The sequence below is a fragment of the Homo sapiens genome, chromosome 7, assembly GCF_000001405.40.
Source record: "Homo sapiens chromosome 7, GRCh38.p14 Primary Assembly".
Lineage (NCBI taxonomy): Eukaryota > Metazoa > Chordata > Mammalia > Primates > Hominidae > Homo > Homo sapiens.
This window is the reverse complement of record NC_000007.14, coordinates 101,882,570-101,901,318: the sequence shown is the minus strand read 5'-3', so window position 1 is coordinate 101,901,318 and position 18,749 is coordinate 101,882,570. Positions and strand designations below refer to the sequence as shown.

General features: G+C 46.9%; 1 protein-coding gene across 25 annotated transcripts in view, besides 7 other annotated features; it reads right to left on the bottom strand.

Annotated features, from left to right (window-relative positions):
* CUX1 (cut like homeobox 1) overlaps positions 1-18,749 on the bottom strand; it is a 467,952-nt gene that overhangs the window by 382,640 nt on the left and 66,563 nt on the right. The window lies entirely within an intron of this gene.
* Positions 479-978: an enhancer, noted in NCBI's record as "H3K4me1 hESC enhancer chr7:101543621-101544120 (GRCh37/hg19 assembly coordinates)". NCBI's record gives its function as "activates a minimal SCP1, AML or CMV promoter by ChIP-STARR-seq in naive H9 embryonic stem cells {active_cell/tissue: H9 hESC(naive)}" and the evidence as "EXISTENCE:reporter gene assay evidence [ECO:0000049][PMID:30033119]".
* Positions 4,506-5,006: an enhancer, noted in NCBI's record as "H3K4me1 hESC enhancer chr7:101539593-101540093 (GRCh37/hg19 assembly coordinates)". NCBI's record gives its function as "activates a minimal SCP1, AML or CMV promoter by ChIP-STARR-seq in primed H9 embryonic stem cells {active_cell/tissue: H9 hESC(primed)}" and the evidence as "EXISTENCE:reporter gene assay evidence [ECO:0000049][PMID:30033119]".
* Positions 5,007-5,507: an enhancer, noted in NCBI's record as "H3K4me1 hESC enhancer chr7:101539092-101539592 (GRCh37/hg19 assembly coordinates)". NCBI's record gives its function as "activates a minimal SCP1, AML or CMV promoter by ChIP-STARR-seq in primed H9 embryonic stem cells {active_cell/tissue: H9 hESC(primed)}" and the evidence as "EXISTENCE:reporter gene assay evidence [ECO:0000049][PMID:30033119]".
* Positions 10,362-11,072: an enhancer, noted in NCBI's record as "H3K27ac-H3K4me1 hESC enhancer chr7:101533527-101534237 (GRCh37/hg19 assembly coordinates)". NCBI's record gives its function as "activates a minimal SCP1, AML or CMV promoter by ChIP-STARR-seq in naive H9 embryonic stem cells {active_cell/tissue: H9 hESC(naive)}" and the evidence as "EXISTENCE:reporter gene assay evidence [ECO:0000049][PMID:30033119]".
* Positions 15,790-15,839: a silencer, noted in NCBI's record as "silent region_18497". NCBI's record gives its function as "represses an Ori minimal core promoter by ATAC-STARR-seq in GM12878 lymphoblastoid cells {active_cell/tissue: GM12878}" and the evidence as "EXISTENCE:reporter gene assay evidence [ECO:0000049][PMID:35858748]".
* Positions 16,410-16,459: an enhancer, noted in NCBI's record as "active region_26411". NCBI's record gives its function as "activates an Ori minimal core promoter by ATAC-STARR-seq in GM12878 lymphoblastoid cells {active_cell/tissue: GM12878}" and the evidence as "EXISTENCE:reporter gene assay evidence [ECO:0000049][PMID:35858748]".
* Positions 17,571-17,738: a silencer, noted in NCBI's record as "fragment chr7:101526861-101527028 (GRCh37/hg19 assembly coordinates)". NCBI's record gives its function as "represses an EF-1alpha promoter that drives an FKBP-Casp9 reporter gene in an ReSE screen in K562 erythroleukemia cells {active_cell/tissue: K562}" and the evidence as "EXISTENCE:reporter gene assay evidence [ECO:0000049][PMID:32094911]".

Sequence of the window (18,749 nt, the reverse complement as noted above, 5' to 3'; positions counted from 1 at the left end):
CCGTCTCAAAAACAAATAAAAACAGATTTTGCTTAATTATTTTGCAAGTAGAAGAAGGCTGGTGACCCAATATTGGGTGATTTTTTGTATAGCCCTGTTTCTTCCAGAGCTGGGCCCGCCCTACCCAGGGGCATTACTGGGCCCTAGGAAGCAGTAGGGGCATTTGGGGTAGACCAGGTTCCATCCTGGATTCAGCAGCTTCTTGTTATGGGAACTTGAGCAAGTCACCAAGACTTCCTGAGCATCGATTTTCCCATTGGTAAAATATACCACCTACCTCACCTCCCAGGGTCGTTGGAAAACTATGTGATATATAAACAGAACAAGACATACTCTTCTAAGTTAAAAAAAAGTTCCAGAGAGATAGTAGTTATCATTGTTAGATTCTTCAGTGATTAAGTATCCTGCAACTTACACACATTAGCTCCTTTTCCCATATGCTCTGGGGTTCGGATGGGAGGTGGTGCCTAAGAGAAGGATCCTGCAAGTTAAAAGCTATCACAGTTATAGGTGAAGTGCTAATAACTTCATTTTGAAACTGTCAGGTTTGGCTTTTTTTTTTCTTCTTCTGAATCACAGCTGTGGCTTGCACTAGACCTCTACCTGTGGCTGTGTTCCCTTCTCACATTTTAATTAGCAAATAAAAACTCCAGAAAGCTCTCAAAATGTTTCTGCCTGGATTTTACAAGGAAAAGTTAAAAGATGCCAACTGGCTCCTGGGAAAAAACCAAACTAGTAAGAGGCATCTATCAACAAGGCAGAGCAAGTTCATCCGGAGAGCTTATGCCAGGCCAAGAAATACCATCTCGGAGCCAGCTTTGATTTTATTTTTGCAGTTAATTTTCAAGATTTTCGGTGCCGCATTCAGCGAGTGAGGTTTACAACATCCTGCCATTGGCTGAGAGCTGCTGCCAGCCAGATGGCCCCGCAGAACGACACTCGTATGGCAGAGAGAGCGGGCGTCGCAAGTGATTCCTTCGCTGCCTCCTGGCACCGGTACCGCTGGCTGCCACCAGGAAACCTGGGTTCTGGGCACCAACAGGTTACACTACATGACAGCTCCTGGTGCCAAGAGCGGAGATGCGATTTTAAAGGGGCCGCGTCAATCCTCAGTGAGTTTCACTTCTAGCTCTGCTGGACATGAGGGACACCGGCAGAGGGAAGAGGCTGCTTCATGGGCTGCCCAGAAGTGCTGCTAGTCTCCCCATTCTGGGCGCTGGAACAGTGACTCCAGCTGTCAGCATCACCCCATCCTGTCCAGGGCGCTTTCTACAAGATAGCTGAGGGGCTCTTTAACTTAGACTCTGTAAAGCTAGCTAAAGAGCTATTGCTAACCACCTAAACTCGCACTAAATGAAGATACACAATTAAGAAGCACAATTACAGCTCCTGCCGCTATGTGATGGGGTTCTGGCATGAATTCCCATCCAGTGCCCTCGGCTGGGGCAGCTCCCCACACTCTCCAAGTTCACACCATGCTCGATGGCCCCCTCTTCATCCTAGGTCTCTGTGCCAGGCCCCTGGAGGTAGGAAATTCATGCCAATTACCAAGCTTTCCTGATCCCCCTGTGACTCCTCCAAGTTCAAGTTCTCATCACCGGTTTTTCTCGAACTCTAGACGTGAGTTCTTATGTACACAGACATCAGGACTTTTTCTCTATCAAACTCAGCAAAATGACACCACCTGTTTTGGCCCAGGAAGGACATCTCTCTATACCTGATGTTCTCTGTATGCTGGGCCTCCTGTGACTTCTTTATTTTTTTATTTTTTTGAGACAGAATCACTCAGACTGGAGTGCAGTGGCACAATCCAATCTTGACTCACTGCAACCTCTGCCTCCTGGGTTCAAGAGATTCTCCTGTCTCAGCCTCCCGAGTAGCTGGGATCACAAGAGTGCACCACCACACCTGGCTAATTTTTTTTGTATTTTTAGTAGAGACCGGGTTTTGCCATGTTGACCAGGCTGGTCTCGAACTCCTGACCTCAAGTGATCCACCTGCTTTGGCCTCCCAAAGTGCTGGGATTACAGGCGTGAGCCACTGCGCCCAGCCTCCTGTGATTTCTTGAGGACCAACTGGCAGGGAGGGGATTGTGATCTGGTTTGAAGGGCAAAAGGCCGCTCAGTAATGTGGGATCTATAAGGACCCACTCCACCCCATCACCATCTTATCACTACCACCCAGGGTCTGGACCCCAGAACACTGCCCATGCAGCAACAGGAAGCAACTTGGACCAGGCAGCCTTGGTGATGCTCTCCAGCCACTTCTCTGCCCACGAGGTTCCATCACAGATAAGAAGCCACAGGCAGCCATGCACAAATAGCCGCCAGTGGACGGGGCTCTGGGATGCTGCACCTATGTGCACCAACGCCTTCCACGCCACTCAGTATGTTATTCTTCCAAGCTAGTGTAACTATAAAGGAAATTAGCCGGGTGCGGTGGCTTATGCTTTGTAATCCCAGCACTGTGGGGGGCCGAAGCAGGCAGATCACCTGTGGTCAGGAGTTCGAGACTGGCCTGGCCAACATGGCAAAACCCTGTCTCTACTAAAAATATAAATATTAGCCAGGTGTGGTGGTGCGTGCCTGTAATCCCAGCTACTCAGGAGGCTGACGCAGGAGAATCACTTGAACCCGGGAGGCGGAGGTTGCAGTGAGCCAAGGTCGCGCCGCTGCACTCCAGCCCAGGCCACAGGGCAAGACTCTGTCTCAAAAAAAAAAAAAAAAAAAAAAAGACACAGAAATGGAAAGAAACAAGAATAGTCTCTGAAGGAATCCTGAAGCAGCTTCAGTGAATAAAGTACATACAGGAAGCCGCCCCAAGAAGAGAAAATAGGATAAACTAAGAGGGAATTACGAGCCTGGCACTGAATGGCATTGGAGACTTCCCCGTCCCGGCGGCTGCCAGTTCTTCTCCTCGTCCCCACTGCTTTAAACACGGGGAGCCCAGAGCCAGTGAGCTGCTGACCTGTCAGATCTGACTTCTGGAATAAAAATGAAAAGGCCGAGTGGCAGCCGTAACATGGAATTTCCTTGTTTTTATTAGTTTAAGGCTCTTAAAGAGTGACTTTTACATTGGGGAAAACTTCTCAAATATGTACTACTTGAGACTTAGATCCAGTTACCTCTCACATGTTTTCAATCATTCTGCTTGCCAATTTTACTAGATATCAAAAGACATTTGCGGTTTAAAGCAGGGGAATGGGTCCCCCCCAACCATTCCCCACTCCAAGTACATCTGCGCTCCCTGCGGTGACTCTTCCCCCTAGATCCCTGACCCCTCGGGGCTGCCAAAAAGGCCCACCGGGGTACCGGGGGTGCTACTGGATCCACGCAGGCAAGCTGGGTGGGGGTAGGAGGGTGGTTTATTTCAAGCACTGGTACTGCAGGGGAAGAATTTTTTGGTTTTGGTTTTTAGACAAAAACTATTGATAAAATCCAGCTTTTTACATGACTTGCCACTCACATCAAGTCCAAGGAACAGAGGTTCCTCTTGAAACACACACACCAATAAGCAAAACCCTAAGACTACCACACTGGAAAAAAAATGGTTATTCAGTCATCCATCCCAAGAGCTGAAACTATAAAGATTTGGGGATGATAATATCAGACTGGTCACGCTATAGTCTGGGGTTCATTTAACATTGAAGCTGGGTGTGAAAACAGTAAACTGTTGCCCATGACCTGCGCTGTGATACTTACATCAGCAGAAATAATTATGAAAGTCTAACCAATTGTGTTGTTAGATATCTTCTAACTAAGCACAGAACCTCTACTTTTTTCTTTTCTTTATTTTATTATTATTATTTTTTTTTTTTAAGAGACAACATCTCGCCCTTCACTCAGGCTGGAGTACAGTGGCACGATCATAGCTCACTGCGGGCTTGAACTCCTGGGCTCAAGCAATCCTTCCACCTCAGCCTTTCAAGTAGCTGACACGACAGGTGCATGCCACCATGCCCAGCTACTTTTTAAAAATTTCTGTAGAAATGAGGCCTCGATATGTTGCCCAGGCTTCACTTGCTGTATTAACCAAACACACCCAGGGGTGGCTGAGCCTTCGAGGATGTCAAGCCACAAGATGTCTAATAGCAAATGACGTAAAACTCTGCGCTGTCATCCAGGGACAGAGATGGGAAGAGAGAGTTTGAAACCTCATTAAAAACAAAATGAAACACACTTCCTGCTTCGCAGATGCGTCCTAAATAGTTTGCTTGATATAAATTCAGAGGAAGGCCTAATAAGAGGGAGTAAATGGGTGCTGGCTGAAAGGAGGCTGCCCTTCAAGACAGTTGTGTGTGCGTGACTTTTCTGCACATCAGATAGGCTCAGGGGGGCCACTGCTGAGCCAGGCTTGTATCTTACTCTTCATAGGGACTGACTGCTTGCCTTATACAAAAAGGATAATACTGACTGCTCGTAAGAACTTACTGGGAGTGCGTCTCTAAATTTCTGGTACAAACGTGCACTTTCCCTATGAATACTCAAAGGCAAACAAATCCTCTAAGATGAAAAACTTCATATTTAGTTTGTTAGGGACAGACAGGCTCCACATTTCAGCACAAACATTTATTTTTAATCAAGCTAATTTTTTATTTTTCCCATTTAAGACCTGTTAATTCCATGACTGAGAATTCATCAAGTTTCAGACTGGAATTAATTTTAGCAACTGCTTTATACCAAAAATATTAGTGACGGTAGCTGTGTAACTGGCTTTGCTTCACAGTCTGTCATGGGAAAGTCTGAGCATTTGTGTTCCTTCCAGAGTCTAGTTGGAGCTGACAAAGGCGAGTTCTAAAGTGAGTTCACCATTTTCCCCTGAGGAGCAGAGCTGTCAGAAGCAATACCAGCAATCTGTTCACTGGTCTACTTTACACAAAGCTGACTGTGGCGTTCCTGTGTATACCTTCATACACCCCTTCATTCACCCATTCACGTTTCTGCAAACGCACACCGATTCGACGCTTACTGTGCATGTCCCCACGGTGCCTGCTGTTGCTCTGTTCCCACACCTGCTTCCTGGCCTACCTGCTGCACCTGGGGCAAGGCTGCCCACGACCTGCAAGAGCTGGAGGTCGGAAGACTGCTGGCTGTGGTCTGCTCTTTTCATTTTAATTTTATGGGTGAGCCAGGCATGGTGGCTCACACCTGTAATCCCAGCACTTTGGGAGGCTGAGGTGGGCGGATTGCTTCAGGAGTTTGAGAACAGCCTGGGCAACATAAGGAGACCCTGTCTCTTCGAAAAAATAATAAATAAATAAATAAATACGCCAAGTGCAGTGGTGCATGCCTATAGTCCCAGCTACTTGGGAGTCTGGGGAGGTTGAGGCCGCAATTAGCCGTGATTGTGCCGCTGCACTCCAGCCTGCATGACAGAGTAAGACCCTGTCTCCAAAAAAAAAAAAAAAAAACAAAAACAAAAAAAAAACTTTACAGGTGATACAAGGAAACGTGGCCCCCAAATCACCAATAATCCGCCCCCTTCCAGTTTACTCCCACTCTCACCTCTACAAGAATTAGGCAAATGTGACAACTTCTCCCTGCCTCGCTGAAAACTCAATCTCTGTGACTTCTTTTGGAGGGCAAGGTTGGACTGGCAGCTGACTACAGGCAGCCATGAATTCCTTCTGAAGGGATTCAGGACTTCAGGTGCTCTCTTAAATCTTTCTTCCCCTAAAATTCTTTTAAGAATGCAGGCTCCTTTTGGGGCTGCAATGCAGAGCTGAGTCTATCTATGGGACAGACACCGGCAAAGCTTACTGACATCCCACCCCTATGGACAGGTGAGAACACCCCCATCACAGCAATTTCAAAGTCTCAAGTTCCTTTATTTCCAATACTGTCCAGACCAAGCTGCCCATCCAAAGCCTTCAAGTCCAGTCTCTTCCCCATGCCAGGGTCCCAGGCCAGACTCACCCAGACCATTGGTTTCCCAATGGCCCTTACCATTGGGATCCAACTGTGGCTACAATGGGGAAGCCTGGTTGATTAGTTCTGCCTTTTTGAGGAGCTACAAAACTCTAGGAAAAGCACTTCCCACATGATTTCCAAAATACCCAGTGTTTGAGGTCAGGAGTTCAAGACCAGCCTGGCCAAAATGGCGAAACCCCGTCTCTACTAAAAATACAAAAATTAGCCAGGCGTGGTGGTGCATGCCTGTAATCCCAGCTACTCAGGAGGCTGAGACGGGAGAACTGCTTGAACCCAGGAGGCAGAGGTTGCAGTGAGCCAAGATCGCACCACTGCACTCCAGCCTGGGCGACACAGCAAGACTCCATCTCAAAAATAAATAAATTAATTAAATAAAATACCCAGCGTTTTAAGGAGTCTAGGAAGCCGACCAGTACTCAGACTTGGAGACAGGCTGGGGAGGTCACCATCCCAGCACTCAGGGAGCTCAATCATACCTAGGGAAGAACTCCCTAGGGTTACAGAAACCACACTTTAGTTCAACAATCAAACCAGGTACTCCTCTCCAGCGCTCACTTTGAGAAACATCTTTCAGGAACCCCCAAAATGCTTAAACAGTACCCTCCTCCACAGCAGTGCTGTCCCCACCATATGATTTATTTACTCCATGAGAGTTTTATTTAAGACCAGAATTGAAGCGTGCTGTTATGAATCTGAGTGGCTGCAAAAGCCTAAAAACTGCTTTGTACTGGGCATTCCATTGTCAAAGCACTTCCACTCTTTAAAACCTGCGCCATAGGCCGGGCGCAGGGGCTCACGCCTGTAATCCCAGCACTTTGGGAGGCCGAGGCGGGTGGATCACCTGAGGTCAGGAGTTTGAGACCAGCCTGGCCAACACGGCGAAATCCCATCTCTACTAAAAATACAAAAAATTATCCAAGTGTGGTGGTGGGCGCCTGTAATCCCAGCGTCTTGGGAGGCTGAGGCAGAATAGCGTGAACCCAGGAGGCGGAGCTTGCAGTGAGCCGAGATCGTGCCGCTGCACTCCAGCCTGGGCGACAGAGCGAGACTCCGTCTCAAAAAACAAACAAACAAAAAACCAAAAAAACTGCACCATAATTCAGTCTTTCTGCAGATTGGAATGAAATTCTGGTCAGACCTTGCATAACTTTCTGAGGAATTATAATAGTCCCATCCTTGTTAGCTAATTTAAGTTTTTTGAAAAACCACCAAATCCCTACATAAGACATTCTCCTACTTGGCGACCCACTATGGTGATGATCAGACACCGGTACCCGAGGCAGCTTTTCAGGCGTGCAAAGCCAAGATGCGGGCCCAGACAACACAGTGGACTTTGGAGCAAGAGATTTGCCACTTATTTACAACATCTCCAAAGCATTTCTAACTTGAATATATATTTCACACAGTACCAAAACTTTTAAATATCCACAAGAAGATTTCATTTTTATAGGCAATAAACATTAAATCTAAAGGACTGGGACATAAAAAGTGTTTTAATGCCGTATAAATCACCTTTCCCTAGACAGACTAAATCTCCGAAGGTTTTAAGGACTGCAATATAAATTTTTATGGCAAATTATCTACATAGAAATTATCTGCATGAGATGCACTTTTACTTCTCATTCTCATTTACATAGTGCTGACAATCTTTTCAATCACAACAGCCAATCCAATTTGGGAAGTCAAATAAATGTGGGGAAGAAGCACAAGGGCTTAAGCTAGGCAAGGATCTTTCCTTCTTTCTCTCTGCCCCTAACATCAGCATGCAACTGGGTCTGTCCACTTCTCTACGTTAGAGTCTTTGGCAAACTTGGCCCAAAAGGGATGCTTGGCTGCTCAAATGATGAAAGAACGCTCGCAGGGGGCAAGGTGACCCTCCGTGCCCCAAACGCGCTTCTTACCAGGCAAATCAGCCCGACAGCTTCACACCACAGCCTGGAGCTGATGTTTCCAGAACTTTCCGTCTACAAGGCAAATCTTTCACGTGCAGTTTTGTTTCCTAGATTAAAATTTTAAAAGGAATCCTGTCGAAAGTAGAAATTAGAAACAAAAAGTAATAAAAATAAAAAGTAAAACAAACTTGCCAGGCGCAGTTGCTCATGCCTGTAATCCCAGCACTTTGGGAGGCTGAGGTAGGAGGGTTGCTTAAGCCCAGGAGTTCGAGACCAGCCTGGGCAACACAGCAAGCCCTCATCTCTATTTTAAAAAAAAAAAAAAAAAAAAAAAAAAAGTAATAAAAATAAAAAGTAAAAAGAAAATAGAAATTAGGACTTTTCTATCAGAAAGCAAAATATGATGTTATCAACAAACATTTCATTATATTAGTGAGTTATAAAATGTACAGCCTGCCCCCCAAATACAAGAAGACGGTATTTCTCTCCTCTCTTAAGAGTTATTTTCTAGTAATAGAACAAGAGAAACTAGCAAACATGCCCACGTTCAGGCCTGCAATTAATCTTAGCCAGCTGTCTGAAGAAGGAAAAAGAGAAAGGGTTTCTGGAAACGTTTTCCCTATTGGTTTTATTCATATAATAAATATTAAAGCTAATTTTGGGGGCCTTTCATCTAGGATAGTTTTAGGCCCTTTAATGGTCTAAAAATTTAAATACAGCTCTCCCTCATTCTCTTGCAGGGCCTAATTAAACAAAAATAGACCTAGCTCACAAAATTATACACAAAAATGAAAAAAAGTATTTTGGCAAAGGGCACCAATTTTCACTGACTCGAGCATGGCTATATAAGCACTAACAACATACTGATAGGAACAGAAAGCACATTTTAACAACATTTTTCAATTAAACAGTCACATTCTTGTGAAATAAAAATCCACGCAGACTCTCAGACTGCGTATAACGTAGTAATGATGAGACCATTTCCTCCGGCTCATTACAAAATTTTCTTGTTGAAGTGGCAATTTCTGTCCTGGATGTCTAAATGAGGGTAATTAGAAGCCCACAGTAACTTCTGAAAAACGGAACAACCAGAAGACACTTTGGGATACGGTGCCAGAAACACTCTGTTTTGCAAATGAAGGAGGTAACATTTTCTTTCCAGATTAAAAGATTCTTGATGCCAACTAACAGCCGCTTGTGTAATCTTATTTAAAATGTGCTAAAGCATTACACCACTTCACCAAATGGGAGAAAAAGGAACGATACTAAACCTAGCATTGAAAGAATCTGACCAGCATATTGCTTCTAGATTAAGTTTTCTTAAGTCCAACTGTCTTCAGCCTGCCGCTGGTCAGTGCAAGGAGAGGCTCAAAGTCCGGACTGACTCTCCGCTCCAACACAAAAGAGATGCTCCTAGATCTGATTCATTCAACAAGCCTTTTAGGGAGTGGATTTCTGGGGACAAGATGCTGAAATAGGCACTGCCCATTACCCACACAGGGTTTCCAGTTTACAAGTCTATGTCAAAGAAAAGAAAATTATCAACAAAGTCTTACAGACCATTGCATTTAACACTTATTGACACTATACAGTGGAGAAAATGATGAAAAACTGGTAGACATTCTCCACACAGAAATTCAATACCCATTCCAATTGGTTTTTAAAAATAACAATTTCTTTAAATTTAGAGAAGAAAATAAAAGGATGACTGTCCCCAAACTAATATTTGAAACCTACAACCCCAAATTCAGAATTCAATCAAATGCCACCATCTCCATGAACCCTTCCCTATTCTCCCTGGCCAGAAGTCACATTCTGGATGGTTTCTGATTATGAGTGCGTCTTCTATGACCCTGCTAAATACAGCTCCAAGAAGGTACGGGCTGTCTTATTGATCTCTGGGTTCCCCACAGCACCCCATGCAGGTCAGAAGTAAACCCCGATCATTAAGTGAGTCAAGGGATCCAGTCCTGGCTGGGTGTGAGGGCTTATGCCTATAATCCTAGCACTTTGGGGAGGCTGAGGCAGGAGGATCACTTGAGCCCAGGAGTTTGAGACCAGCCTGGGAAACAACTACTTATGAGGCCTTGTCTCTAGAAAAAATACAAAAGTCAGCTGGGCCTGGTGGTGAGCACCTGTGGTCCCAGCTACTCGGGAGTCTGAGGCGTGAGGATTGCTTAAGCATGTAAGTTAGAGGCCACAGTGACTTGTGATCAAACCACTGCACTCCAGCCTGGGCAGAAGAGCAAGACCCTGTCTGAAAACAAACAAAACAACAACAAAACAAAATAAAAAAACAGATCCAGTCTCAGACTCCAAACAGCCAACTTCACTGAATTAGAGTCCCAAATGAGACAAATAAAACATTTTTGGTGTCTACCTCTAGTGGTTAAACGTCTTTGAGAACAGAATTACAGGGTCCATAATAACTCTAAAAGATACTGCCATAGAGAAGTATTCAAAATGTGACACAAAATCATATTCCCCCCGCCCCCGCTCAAAAAAAAAATCCTGCTAAGTGATCTAACACTAAACAAGAATTAAGACATCCTACTTAAGTGACAAAAGAAGAGTTAAAAATAAGCACCAAACAACAGCCTAAACAATGTCAGGCCACACTTCAGAAATAAAAAAGGTCTCATATGAGTGTGTAAAGTGAGAAGCAGGAGATGGTGACGGTAACAGCCACAGCCTGGAAGAGTTCGAGGTTAACTTGCCCAATTCATTAACTAAATAGAGGTTAAATCAGAGTTTGAATGAATACAATTCAGAAAATGGAAGGGTAGATTTGTGTCCCAGCAGTGAGTAGAAATACGCAAGCAGAAACAAGCTGCTATTTTCGCACCAACCTCTCTATATATTTTATAAAAGGGACTCACCGTTTTTCCCCGTACTGACCCGCAAAACCAGCAGCTTAAAAAAAATGTAAGGCGCGTGTATCACTCTGATCCCAAGAACAAACCTGGTGCCGGGCCTTGCTGAGCACTTTGCACCCCTCATGCTGATTCCCACGAAGGACAGGCTGCAGGGTGGGCTCTCCTAGCCAGCTCTGACCCAAGGCGGGGGTGGAGGGGGGGACAGCTGTCCTTCATGTGAGCTCTGAACCCCGAGTCTCTCATGTCCCCATTTTGACCATGGTTGGGGATTTTAGCACCTCTGGACCTAACACCCTGTCCCCTTCCCTGGCCAGCCCACTCTCATCCCACTGTGCCGGTTTGGGGGACACTGCTGTGAACCAAAAGACTCCCCACAGCCCCCCTATTCTTTGAATCTCTAAACACTGCCGGCTTCAGGGCTCCCCGTCAACCCCATCTGCCAAGACACCGATTATCCCACGCTGGCCTTCCCTGATACTGAAGCACGTTCCTTCAAATGTCAGCCAGTGTTTTTCCTCGCACCCTCTTCCTCCAGCCAGTCCCTGCCACTGGCCTTCTCTCTCCCTAAATCCCCGGGGGCACCCCACCACACACTGGCGGGAGTGGTTCCACCATCAAGACAGCTGCCTCTCTGCTACAAAGACCCTGGTACCCCGTAGTGAAGGTGGAAAAGCTTAGTTATCCAGAAAACAGAGCATCTCAAGTCACTGGGATCGCGAGAGAGTTTCAACACCCTACAAGCGACTTGTAAGAAGGCCGCATTTGCAACTGCAGAGTTCCCTCTTCCAGGAAATTACTTCCTGAACACTTTACCTGCACCAGATGTATTTATTTGTTTATTTATTTTTTGAGATATAGTCTTGCTCTGTCGCCCAGGCTGGAGTGCAGCGGTGTGATCTCGCCTGACTGCAACCTCCACCTCCCAGGTTCAAGCAATTCTCCTGCCTCAGCCTCCTGAGTAGCTGGGATTACAGGTGCTCACCACCAGGCCCAGCTAATTTTTTGTATTTTTAGTAGAAATGGGGTTCCACCATGCTGGCCAGGCTGGTCTCAAACCCCTGACCTCAAGTGATCCGCCGGCCTCGGCCTCCCAAAGTGTTGGGATGACAGGTGTGAACCACTGCACCCGGCCCACTGGATGTTTTTAGAAGGAGAAAAATCGGTTTACTTTTCTCAAGGCCATTTTATGAATCCCATAAAGCTGGAAGTAAGTAAAAGTGTTTTCCAGCCTCAAAGGCCAATGTGCACCTGGAATAGGGAAAAAGCCACAGGGCTTTAGAAGGAACAGTACTGTTTTTCTACAAACTATCCAAAGACCCTCGGGAAACGATCTCTCTCAGCACTTTTTTTTTTTTTTTTTTTGAGACAGGGTCTTGCTCCATTGCCCAGGTTGGAATTTAGTGGTGCAATCATAGCTCACTGCAGCCTTAAACTCCAGGACTCAACCAATCCTCCCACCTCAGCCTCCTAAGTATCTGGGATCACAGGTACACATCCAACTCATTTTTTAATTTTCTTGTAGAGACGGGGTCTGGTTATGTTGCCCAGGCTGGTCTTGAACCCTTGACCTCAAGCAATCCTCCTGCCTCAGCTTCCCAAAGTGCTAAGATTACAGGCATGAGTCACTGCACCTGGCCAGCATCAGTTTTCTGATATGCAAAATAGAGGTGATACCAACTTTGTAGGGTTTCTGCAAGGAGTGCCAAAATTCAACTTTAATGACCATCTCTTGGCAAGGTGTGGTGGCTCACCCCTATAATTCCGGCACTTTGGGAGGCCGAGGCAGGTGGATCACTTGAGGTCAAGAGTTCAAGACCAGCCTGGCCATCATGGTGAAATGCTGACTCTACCAAAAATACAAAAATTAGCTGGGTATAGTGGTGTGCACCTGTAATCTCAGCTACTCAGGAGGCTAAGGCATGAGAATCACATGAACCCAGGAGGCAGGGGCTGCAGTGAGCTGAGATTGCACCACCGCACTCCAGCCTAGGTGACAGAGTGAGACTCTGTCTCAAATTAAAAAATAACCATCTCTTGTATACCAGATCCCAGGGAGAAATAAAAGAATAAGCTGGATTCACTCATCCATTCATTTGTGCAAATGAGGCATCAGGCTGGCGGTATGAACATGGAGAAACAGAATAAACCAATGTATTAAGAGGGATATGTACATGTATATAAATCTACGAACAAGTCTGAATTTAACATATTATCCAGTGGAATTAAATGGGATAAAGCACAGTGTCAGGTACAAGGAAGACATTCAATAATTTTTTTTTCTTTTTTTTTGGAGACGGAGCCTCACTCTGTCACCCAGGCTGGAGTGCAGTGGCACGATCTCGGCTCACTACAACCTCCGTCTCCTGGGTTCAAGAGATTCTCCTGCCTCAGCCTCCCGAGTAGCTGGAATTACAGGAATGTGCCACCACACCCAGATTTTTGTATTTTTAGTAGAGACGGGGTTTCGCCATGTTGGCAGGGCTGGTCTGGAACTTCTGACCTCAGGTGATCCCCCCACCTCAGCCTCACAAAGTGCTGAGATTACAGGCGTGAGCCACCACACCCGGCCTCAATAATGTTTATGGAACTCATTGACCCTCAGTGAGCTTTATTCGGGAAATCCCTAAATCCAACTTTGCACACTACAGGGTTCCTTGACATTGAATGCGTTCTCCTGGAGTGGGCACGCAGAGGGACCACGACATCTGGGCTTTCCGTAAACCAAAAGAGATCCGATGAATCATAAGCTTCTAAACAAAAAAAAAAAAAAAAAAAAATGTCACCGTCATCACCAGATCCAGTGGCAGGATTTGGTTTTTCAGTCCAATGGTCCTAAAAGCAAGAAATGTCGTATGACAGCCACTCCCAGAGGATGGTGCTTTACTGACTTAGCTGTGGGTCCTGCCCTGTCCACAGGGTGTATCAGCAGCCCTGGGGTCACGGAAATGCTCCCAATGCTGATGCCAGTGTCATGGGGAGCCCTTATCCTCCCGAATCAGAAAAAGAGGACATGGCCGGGTGCAGTGGCTCATGTCTGTAATCCCAGCACTTTGGGAGGCCGAGGCAGGAGGATCACCTGAGGCCAGGAGTTCAAGACCAGCCTGGGCAACATAGCAAGACCCTATCTCTAAAAAAATAAAATAAAAATTATCCAGGCATGGTGGCTCACACTTGTAGTCCCAGCTACTCAGGAGGCTGAGGTAGGAGGACTGCTTGAGCCCAGGAGATCAAGACTTCAGTGAACTATAATCACACCACTGCACTGTAGCCTGGCAACAGAGCAAGATCCTCTTTCTAAAAAAAAAGAAAGAAAAAAAAAGTTTCAAAAGAAAAGAAAAACAGATAACAGAGAATGGTTAAAAAGAAGAGTGAGTTTTGCCCCCATCGGAAAGAAAGGAAGATGCAGTCACAGCAACTCGGCTGCCCTATTCAGGGGCTGCCCCTCCTAGAGACCCCCTCCCCAGCAAAGCCCCTTCCAAACCGTCCCTGCAAAACTGTCCCTGCCAGCCCAGGACTCAACAACGCCCAGCAGTGTCCGGCACTGACCTCCTTCGTCAGAACATTTGCTATTGGGCCCCACGCTGTGCCTGGTCCATCCTTTGGGCAATGGTATGTGTTGCTCTGCTGAGCAGGGAGCGAAGAGTGGGGGCTCAGCAGGGTGGGGGCCATCCTGTGGCTGAGGTCTGGGGGCTCCTCTTGTTGCTGGTGAAGCAGCATCTACCCTTCAGCAAGCCTCCCATTTAGGTCACATGGCCAGAAAACACCCGTGGGCTCTCAAGAGTTTCCAATGGCAACAAGGCCAACCTGCCCATGGGAGAGAGGAGGAGCAGGTGGCCGTGCCCAGCCTCCTCCAAAGGCCAGGCCCACCTTGTGCCTGCGGTCCCTGCTCTGGGCACTTCTCCATAACATACTCAGGAACTAAATCCAGCCTCAGTGAGGCTGGCATGGGCTATCCAGGCATGCAGTGCACGTGTGGGTCCTCGCAGGGGACCCTAAGCCTTTCTTCTGGCAGGCACGGGGGCCAGGGGGCTTCTCCCCACGGGTATCGTGTTGGTGGCAAAAGCCTACACCTTGCCGAATGCCAAGTCAACAAAGAAAAGTCCACAAAAAGGTGGGTGCCGGCCGAGCATAGTGGCTCACACCTGTAATCCCAATACTTTGGGAAGCCATGGTGGACAGATCACTTGAACCCAGAAGATTGAGACCAGCCTGGGCAACACAGTGAAGCCCCATCTCTACCAAAAAAACTACAAAAAAAAATTAGTTGGGCATGGCGGCGCACACCTATAGTCCCAGCTATTCAGGAGGCTGGGGTAGGAAGATCACTTGAGCCCAGGAGACAGAGGTTGCAATGAGGTGAGATTGTGCCACTGCACTCCAGCCTTGGCAGGAGAGTGAGAACCTGTCTCAAAAAAAAAGAAAAAGGCAGTCCTATGGAAGGCAGACCCTGTAGGGTCACTGAGACATCTAAGAGGCACCGACAGCACCCCAAAAGGGTAACCACCCACATTCAGGGCCAGCAGGAGATCCAGAGAGGCCAGAGAAGTGCCTCACCTGTCACTTCCAGAGTGTCCCCCACAGAGGCATGGGGATCCTGGGGCCAGGCTGCACAGGCTGGAATTCCAGATGTGCTGCCTGCTCATGGGGGCCAGTCACTGAAGGACCCTGTGCCTCAGTTTCCTCTCCTATAAACGGCGGTGAAAATAGCATCCGCCCTGTGAGCTTGTGGGGAGAGACCGAGTAGCACAAGTCATGAGCTCAGAACAGGCCCTGGCACAGACTTAATATTCCGTGAGTGCAACGAGTGTTGTTATTCCTTCAAGCCAACAGCCTCGTCAGGGAGAGCTGGGCAAGATATCTTTGGAAAACATTAATATTTATTGAGTAGTCCACGAGACACAAAGAGGAAGTCGTCCGAGGCCATGCCTGCTCTGTGCTCGGGGAACTGGGGCAAGGGGACCTGTAGCCTCACTGAGCTGGCCTTTAAGGACAAGGGGACCCTGCGGCCTGGGCCTTCCTGGGGAGAATCCTCCCATCTTTCCATCTTTATTTTTTATTTTTTGGGACAGGGTCTCGCTCTGTCGCCCAGGCTGGAGAGCAGTGGTGCAATCATAGCTCACTGCAGACTTGACCTCCTGGGCTTGAGGGATCCTCCCACCTCAGCCTCCCGAGTAGCTGAACCTCCCACCTTTGGTTCTCTCTCTCTTCTCTCTTCCCCTTCTGACCCTGCAAGGGGACCTGCCTCTCCTGTAGCTTTAATCCAAAGGCCTTCTGGACTTCCCTGGTGGACTGTCACCATTGGCAGGTGACAGTCACCTCTGCATAAACATTGTAGGGGGGAATCTGGGCACTTGGTTCATTCCCCTCCTGGCCAGAGAGCCTCTGGATGGAGGCAGGGCATCCAGCCCCAATCAGGGCACGCCTGCCCTGAAGCTATCAAACACTTCTTAGTGAACTGGAAGATTCCTCCCAGACTCCCGCCAAAGGAGACAGACCTCAAAATGTTGGCCACATGAAAGGCTTGTGTGTAAAAATAATTCAGTTCAACAAATATTTCCGCTATATGCAAATCACAGAAATAGGCACTACAGAGGACATGCAGGGAGGGGAGGAGGCGAGTGCTTCAAAGAGCCTGGAACCCAGCGAGGAAATGAAAAGGTGGCCGAGTGAGGGCTCACAGTCGAGGCCTGCAGTCAGCCCTCCACTGTGACAGCATCACCAAAACCAGGCAGAACTGGAGCCGGGGATTCCAGAAGGCAAGGGGGAAACGGCTTCAAATCACTGAAGATCTCATTAAAACAAATCCTCTGTTTATCCAATGTTTATGGTGTCACTGTGTAAATATCCATTAAAGTGCCAAATCAAGAATTAGCACTTTCTATGCTAAAGTCAATGTTCTATATAATGCATAGAAATTTGCAAAAAGGAAAAACAGAGGACATTAAACGGAATTATCTGTAATCCATGAAACTGACAATCATTATGTATCTCTCTCAGGGATCACTGCCTATTCGCTATTCCACTTTCTTAGAGAAGCCTGCTTTCCCAGGCACTCTGGGAAGGTGTGGAGAGCATGAGTTTAACACCCACCCACCTCACACGGGGCTTTAAATAATTACCTGTCCCAAACAGCACAAGGTCTTTGGGATGAGGCCCCAACATGGCACATGGCCTTCCCTACCCCATCTAAAAATGAGTACTACAGCAATTACCGGACAGAAAAACACGTTATCTAATTATGGGAGAGGAGCAAGGAGCTCTGGAATCAGAAATTTCTGAGAACATTATCAATAAGACTGTAGGCTAACTATAAGTATATATCCCAATTACCTTGACTTGATCATTACACATTGTATGCTTACACCAAAACATCACAAGTACTCCATGAATATGTACAACTATTATGTATCCACAATAACTAAAAATTGGCCAAAAGCATGGCTCACACCTATAATCCCAGCACTTTGGGAGGCCAAGGCAGGAAGATCACTTGTGGCCAGGAGTTCACGACCAGCCTGGGCAAGTCAGCGAGACCCCCTAGCAAAATAAAATTTTAAAACTTAGCCTGGCATGGTGGCATGTACCTGCTGTCCCAGCTACTCAGGAGGCTGAGGTGGGAGGATCACCTGAGCCCAAAAGTTGGAAGTTGTAGTGAGCTATGATTGCACCACTGCAGTCCAGCCTGTGTGATAAGATCCTATCTTATAAAAAATAATAATAATTTGGGCCGGGCATGGTGGCTCACACCTGTAATCCCAGCACTTTGGGAGGTCGAGGTCGGTGGATCACTTGAGGTCAAGAGTTCAAGACCAGCCTGGCCAACATGGTGAAACCCCATCTCTACTAAAAATACAAAAATTAGCCAGGTATGGTAGCAGGCGCCTATAATCCCAGCTACTCCGGAAGCTGAGGCAGGAAAATCGCTTGAACCTGGGAGGGGGAGATCATGCCATTGCACTCCAGCCTGGGCAACAAGAGTGAAACTCCATCGCAAAAAACAGTAATAATAATAATTTAAAATTTCAAAAAAAAATTAAAGAAAAAGAAAAAAAAATAACTATAGATCAATTGCATGATCCATGGCCAGGGACTTCGTTCCTGCCCCCGACCCCTGTATTTCTTAATAGCCTCTGGCATGCTACGGGGATCTGTAACATTGGCTAATAAAAGTACAATAAACAGCAATAGCTTTAGGAACTAAAGCCAGGTTTTGTCTATGTGTACATATGATGAAAATCTCAGGCAAGCCAACAATTACTATCTCATGCTAGTTTCATCCCCATACAATGTCAATAGTTCTATTGTAAACAGAAATCACTGGCAGGATTGGGATGAAAAGGATGGCAACATTCCACATTCGGACTGTGTGACGAACTCACCCCATAACATAAATAACTTCATTTTTTAAAAGAATAATAATCATCAAGGTACATGAGTGCCACCCCTCCATATGACGAAAATTGCTGTGATAGGAAGATGACGAAATGAGCAAACATCCCCTTTGGAGGCTGACTTGAAACCTGAGCCCGAGCCAAGAGTGTTAGCGTTTGAAATCAGTCACTGGCCTGGACTCTAGATCCGCTCCCAGTGACTCAGGGCTATACATAAATCAAATGCCAAAAAGGCCAGCTCACCACCCAGAGGTGCAGCTCTCTGGAACACGCAGAACCAGCAGGGCCTTAGAGGCCCGAAAAAGGCTTTATCCCAGATTTTCAAATCCCAGGACAGCCAAGGCTGGGCGAGACAGGGAACAAGGAAACAAGGTCACTGGGCCAGTGGGGAAGTCCAGGCCTCCAGTGACCCCAGAGGGCGCCGGTCACCAAGAAAGGAAGACTCCATCCCACGCCCACAGAGAGGGGCTGGGCTTAAAGCAAGGACCCACGTGCAGATTCCTGTGTTGGCCCCTCTGGAAACATGTACATCAACAGCTGCTATATTCTGAGTACCTACTACTATGTGCAGAGCATCTACTGTGTGAGCCGCTCACTTGCTGAGTGAACCAGGCCCTGAGCTCCAAAGTGAAAAGGTGACGAGAGGTGCTAGCCTGAATG